This window comes from Homo sapiens, chromosome 21, assembly GCF_000001405.40.
Source record: "Homo sapiens chromosome 21, GRCh38.p14 Primary Assembly".
In the NCBI taxonomy this organism is placed as follows: Eukaryota; Metazoa; Chordata; class Mammalia; order Primates; family Hominidae; genus Homo; species Homo sapiens.
Genome location: NC_000021.9, coordinates 8,405,048 through 8,412,177, shown reverse-complemented (window position 1 = coordinate 8,412,177; position 7,130 = coordinate 8,405,048).

Below are 7,130 nucleotides of genomic sequence, written 5' to 3'. Positions count from 1 at the left end.
GAGAAAGACGGAGACAGGCAGAGAGAAACAGACAGAAAGAGAGAGAGAGAGAGAAAGAGACAGGAAGGGAGAGAGAGAGACAGACAGACAGAGAAAGAGAATAAGACAGAAGACAGACACAGTGAGACAGGCAGAGAGAGAGAGACAGAGAGAGAGAGACAGAGACGGAGACAGAGAGAAGGAGACAGACAGACAGAGAAAGAGACAGACAGAGAAAGACAGAGACAGACAGAGAGAGAAAGAGAAACAGGCAGAGAGAGAGAGAGAGAGAGAGAGAGAGAGCGAGAGAGAAACAGAAAGGGAGGGAGAGAGAGAGAGACAGACAGACAGACGGACAGGCAGAGAAGGAGAGTAAGACAGAGGACAGACACAGTGAGAGAGACAAGCAGAGAGAGAGAGAGAGACAGAGACAGAGACAGACAGAAAGAAAGAGAGAGACAGACAGAAAAAGACAGAGACGGACAGAGAGAGACAGAGAAACAGAGAGAAAGAGAGAAAGACAGAGAGAGCGAGAGAGGGAGAGAGAGAGACAGTGAGAAACAGACAGAAAGAGAGAGAGACGGAGAGAAACAGACAGGGAGAGGGGGAGAGAGAGAGAGAGAGAGAGAGAAACAGAAAGGGAGGGAGAGACAGACAGACAGGCAGAGAAAGAGAGTAAGACAGAAGATAGGCACAGAGAGAGAGAGAGAGAGACAGACAGACAGACAGAGAGAGAGAGACCGACAGAGAGACACAGAAAAAGAAAGAGAGAGGCAGACAGACAGAGAAAGAGACAGACAGAGAAAGACATAGACAGACAGAGAGAGACAGAAACAGACAGAAAGAGAGAGAGAGAAACAGACAGGGAGGGAGAGAGAGAAACAAACAGGGAGGGAGAGAGAGAGAGAGAGACAGACGGGGAGAGAAAGAGAGTAAGACAGAAGACAGACACAGTGAGACAGGCAGAGAGGGAGAGAGAGAGACAAAGACAGAGACAGAGACAGAGAGAAAGAAAGAGACAGACAGACAGAGAAAGAGACACAGAGAGAAAGACAGAGACGAACAGAGAGAAACAGACAGAGAGAAGGCCCTAGCCCAGTAGCAATACAGTGCCTTTTCTTTCATTTTCTCTTTCTTTTCTTTTCTTTTTTTCTTTCTTGTATATCTGTATGCATGGATGTATGTATGTATGTATGTATGTATGTATGTATGTATGTATGTGTGTATTTATTTATGTACGTATTTATCTGGAGACCGGGTCTCACTCTGTCGCCCAGGCTGTAGTGCAGTGGTGCGATCTTGGGTCACTGCAGCCTCCGCCTGCCAGGTTCAAGCAATTCTTCCACCCCAGCCTCCCGAGTAGCTGGGGTTACAGGTGCCTGCCCCACGGCGCCTGACTCCATTTCGTATTTTCAGTAGAGACGGGGGTTTCACCACGTTGGCCGGGCTGGTCTCGAACTCCTGACCTCGGGATGACAGACGTGAGCCACTGCGTTCAGTGTACAGTGCCATTTCTTAGAAATCACTCCTCACGGGAACACACACTTAGAGGTGACGTGTAGAGATTTTATTTATTTAGTTAGTTTAGTTAGTTAGTTAGTTTGTTAGTTAGTTATTATGTGCGCGGGGAGGTGGGGGGACGGAGTTTGGCTCTTGCTGCCCAGGCTACAGTGCAATGGCCTAGGGGACTCAAGGAGTCAACCTACGGCAGAGAGGACACGTCATTCTGAGCGTAAGGGCCACAGCGAAAGGTGGCAGGGCCCGCGCTTTTAAAGGCTGAAATCCCGGCGGCTCAGGCCTGTCGTTTCCAGCACTTTGGGAGGCCCAGGAAGGCGGATCATTTGAGGTCAGGAGTTCGAGACCAGCGTGGCCAACGTGGAGAAACCCCGTCTCTACTGAAAATAGGAATATGAGCCGGCCGTCATGGTGTGCGCCTGTAATCCCAGCTACCGAAGAAGAATCACTGGAACCCGGGAAGCAGAGGTTTCAGTGAGCCGAGAGAGCGCCACCGCACCGCAGCCTGGGTGACAGAGCGAGAGAGACTCAGTCCAAAAAAAAAGAAAGAAAAGAAGAAGAAAAAAAAAGAACGGGCCCAAATACTGCATTGTCGCTGAACGTTCTCCCAAAAGGCCAGAAACCCCCTGACTCAGGTCAAGGAGGTGGTGTTTCGTTTTCTCTCTCCCTCCTCTCTCTCTCTCTCTGTCTCTCTCTGTCTCTCTCTCTCTCTCTCTCTCCTCTCTTCTCCCCCCTAACTTTTATTTGTCGTTCAAGCATACATGTGCAAGACTGTGACATAGGTAAACTTGTGACGGGGGTGTTCAGTGTGCAGATGATTTCATCACCCGGGTAGTCAGTGCTGTGTCCGACAGTATTCGTGTTTTGTTTTCTTCCTGAAGCTGTCTCTCCTTCCACCCCTCCTCCCTCAAGCAGGCTTCCGCGTCCCCGGTCCCCCTCGTTCTGCCCATGCAAGAACTGTCATCTGTAAGTTCCCACTTCTAGATGAGAACACGCGGTATTTAGCCGATCCTTGCTGTCATCTTCGGTGGTGGTGGTGGTGGTGAAAGAGGCATGACACTAAATCGACCCTTAGGACGCTCCCCTCCGTCCCCACCCCGCACCCCCTCCCCACACACACCCTCATTCCCGCACCCCCTCCTCAAACGCAAGAAAGGAAGAAATGAAAGTAAGAGGTGAGCCTGCAAGGCGGTGGAGGCGGGGGATCTCAGAGGGCGAGCAAGCGATGGCGGTCGGGGGATGTGTCGGCTGAGGTATCAAAAATAGGGGACCCAGTTTTCAGCCCCAACACACCCCCTAATCCTCAGCCGCAGCCAGCCTCTGGGTGGGGTTGCGCCTGTCAAAGCTTCCGAATGGAGAGAAGCCCAAGGCTACGGAAGGCATCAGCTCCAACTCCAGGAAGGGAATAAGGCTCTGTGCATACGAATGGGGCTTTGAAAGGCGTTGCCGCGGCTTCCAAAGCGATGCGCTGTGCCTCGCCTCGCCTCGCCCCGCCCAGAGCGAGACTCCGTCTGAAAATAAGTACACAAATAAATCATAAGATAATTCATCAAGAAAGAAAGAAAGAAAGAAAGAAAGAAAGAAAGAAAGAAAGAAAGAAAGAAAGAAAGAAAGGATCAGTAGAGCGATGGTGGTCGTGAGTCATTCCCCGGAGTCCAGGCGCAGTGGCTCACGCCCGTCACGCCAGCACTTTGAGACGCCGGGCAGGAGGGTTGCAAAGAAATGATGAGACCCCGTCTGTGGGAAAACATTTAAAAATGAAGGCCGGGCGCGGTGGCTCACGCCTGTCATCCCAGCACTTCCGGAGGCCGGGGAGGGCGGATCACCTGAGGTCGGGAGTTCGAAACCAGCCCGATCGACATGGAGAAGCCCCGTCTCCACTAAAAATACGAAATCAGCCAGACGTGGCAGCGCATGCCCGCAATCCCGGCTACTCAGGAGGCCGATGCAGGAGAATCGCTTGAAACCGGGAGGCAGAGGTTGCGGTGAGCCAAGATCGCGCCACCGCACTGCAGTCTAGGCCACGAGAGTGAAACTCTGTCTCGGGGGAAAAAAAAACAATTAAAAACGGTGTGGGCACAGTGGCGCGTGCCCGCGGTCCCAGGCTCTGTACTCTGGAGGCTGAGGTGGAAGGATCGCTCGAGTCCAGGAGCGTCCACGCTGCAGGGAGTGAGTTACGACGGCACCACTGCCGGGGTGACGGAGCGAGATGCCGTCTCTAAATCAGTCAATGAGATCACTGGAAGGCGCTCTCTGCGTCTCACTTTCCAAGAGGGTCTCTTTGGGCCAAGCAGGCATGGTGCCTCCCGCCAGTCATCCCAGCACTTTGGGAGGCTGAGGCGGGAGGAAAGAAGGAAGGGAGGAAGGGAGGAAAGAAGAAAAGAAGAAAGGCAGGAAGGCAGGAAAGAAAGAGGGGAAGAGAGAAAAAGAAAAAGAAAGAAAGAAAGAAAGAAAGAAAGAAAGAAAGAAAGAAAAGAGAAGCAAAAAGAAGAAAAGAGAAGGGAAGAAAAGAAAAGCAAACGGGGAAGGGGCATATCTCCTTGACCGGTGACTGCCCAGGATACAGTGGGTCACGGCCGACCGAAGCCTCGACCTGTGGGGCCTCAAGTGATCTTCTCCTCGTCTCAGCCTCCCGAGTAGCCGCGACTACAGGCGGCCATCACCGCGCACAACTCATCTTATAATAACATCATGATTCTCTCGACACGGGGTCTCGCTCCGTCATCCAGGCCGCATCGCCACGGCACGATCTCAGCTCATCGCAACCTCGGCCTCCCCGGTTGGAACAAGTCGCCCGCCCCAGTCTCCCGAGCGGTCGTGATTCCAAGCCCACGCCACCAGGCCCGGCTAATCGTTCTATTTTTCAGAGAGACGGGGTTTCGCCACGTCGGCCAGCCTGGTCTCGAACTCCCGGCCCCAAGCGATCCACCCGCCTCGGCCTCCCAAAGTGCCGGAGTGACAGGCGTGAGCTAGCGTGCCCGGCCCAGATCATCTTTTTCATCAATTGTAGAGAAGGGGTTTCGTCAGCCAACGGGTGGAGGGTGGGGCGGGTTTTACTCAGCCTGCGTACTGTGAAAAGGGGAAGTGAGTGTGCTCTGTGAACTAGATATGGAAATTGTGTGTGTGTGTGCGCGCGTGCGCGTGCGAGAGAGAGAGAGAGAGAGAGAGAGAGAGAGAGAGAGAGAGAGACCAATCCCACCACGAGGACCCGGAAATAGTGTTTGATCTGTGTCCCTGCCTAGTCACCTGTCTTGTGTGTCGATGACTGAGGATTCCACAAATGAAGGTCAGCGGTATCTATTGAGCTGTTTCTCCCTCTCGTGCGTCTCATCTGTGTGCTGGAGAAAGGGAAGAGAAGAGGTTCCGATGGGAAGTTGTCTTCACGCCTGAGGCAGCTGAAGGCAGACCGAAGGGAAGGAGGGCATCCTAGGTGACATTTCCATACCCACGCACCCTTTACAATGCTGGGGCTGCCAGTCCACCCTGTACGTCAACCCACCCCCAAGAACAGCACGGTCCGGGGTGGTCCAGTCTGATCCCAACCGGCCCACCCGGGGCATCCGGTGGAAGTCTTCGCCGGAGGATCCGAAGGCAGCATCAACGCGGTTCCCCTGGGGTCGCCCGGCAAAGGCCAGCCGGGGGAGGGTAGCGGGACGTGACGGGGGGGTGGGGGTCGCATCCGCCTCAGAGCTCCCTGGAAGGTGGCAGGTAGCCGGTGGGGCACGCCGAGCCAGAGACGTCCGGCAGGATATAGATCTGGAAGGCGTGTCAGTCCTCTCCCATACCTCTCCTATGGAAAATGCCAGGGCGGCGGTGGGAGCCTCGGCTGGGGGAGAAGCGGGGACAAGGGGGAGAGGGAAGGAGGCCCTCGGGAGGTTTCGGCACCGAAAACCCACTCAGCCAAGCTCCCTCCGTGTTTCCGGGTCCAAGGTACACCCCGGGAGACGGCAAGAGAAACGTTCACACCGTGCTTTCCGTCTTCGTGTTTATTTCTTTCATCTTTTCCATTTTACGAGAGATGCTCATTTCAACAACCAGACGGCGGATGTGACGGGAGAAGCGTCAAGGCCAGGAGTTTGAGACCAGCGTGAGCAACAGAGCAACACACGTAGGAGAGCCCAGCTGAAAGAAATGAAAGAGGAGGAGGAGGAGGAGGAGGAGGAGGAGGAGGAGGAGGAGGAGGAGGACGACGACAAGGGGGGGTGGGGGGGGAGGAGAAGGAAAGAAAAGAAAAGAAAAAAAAGAAAAAGGAAAACAACCACCACCAAGAAAGTTAAGATTCTCCAACGGTCGGAAGTTGAAGACCAGCCTGACCAAGATGGAGAAACCCCATCTGTAGTAAAAATAGAAAAATTAGCCGGGCACGATGGCTCATCTCTGTCATTCCAGCTACTCGGGAAGGCTGAGGCAGGAGAATCACTTGAACCTGGGAGGCGGAGGGTGCGGTGAGCCGAGAGCCGCCATCGTACTCCACCCTGGGCGACAAGAGTGAAACTCCGTCTAAAGAGAATAAAAAGAAAGAACGAAAAGGCGGATCGGTGAGATGCGTCTGGAAATTTTCTTCGTTCGCAGTCCCCGTATTAAAAACGGAAAGAACCGACCCACGACAAACACGACCAGAGCGTACCGTGCCCACGCGTGTCATCACAGCACTCCGGGAGGCCGATGCGGGAGGATCTCTGGAGCCTAAAAGTTCGAGATCACCTCGACACGTGAGATGACGCCTACAATAATAATAATCATAGAAGTTTGAAAAGAGACCACGTGTGCCCAGAGCATGGACAATAAAGCGAGAGCACATCCGTACTAAAAAGAAGACGATTGATAGGCAGGCAGGCAGGCAGGCAGGCAGGCAGGCAGGCAGGCAGGCAGGCAGGCAGGCAAATGTAGAAGGAGCCAGGCGCAGCGTCTCACGCCTGTAATAGCAGCAGTGTGGGCGGCCGAGGCAGGCAGGCGGATTGCTTGAGGACAGGAGTTCGAGACCAGCGTGGGCAACATGATAGAACCCCGAAACCCATCTCACTCACATACATACATACATACGTACATACATAGATACACACACACACACACACACACACACACACACACACACACACACACACACACATACCTACCTACGGAAAACATGAGAAACAACATAAAAGTCAGCCGGTGTGGTGGTGCGCGCCTGTAGTCTCAGGTAATGGGGATGGGAGGGATCAGAGGCAGAACGACCGTTTGGTCGGTCCAAAGCGTTGAGGTTGGGGTGATCCTGGGCGGCAGAGACAGAGGAAGACCCTGCCAGTAAGGGAGGGAAGGAAGGAAGGAAGGAGGGAAGGAAGGAAGGAAGGAAGGAAGGAAGGAAGGAAGGAAATAAACAGGCAAGCAGGCAAGCAAACGATGAACGTGACAATGACACAGAAGAACCCATGAGAATAAACGAGCAAATAACAGGGTATGAATGAAGCTAAAAGGCAATTGAGATCGCAATCAATCGTTTTCTCTGCACCCCACCCCACCGCAGCCCACGTAAGCTGGAGTGGAAGTGTGCGATCACAGCCCACGTTAACCTCTCCCTCCCGGGCTTAAGAGATCCCTGTAGTCCCAGCTATTTGGGAGGCTGAGGTCACCAGAGCGCAGAGACAGAAGACCAG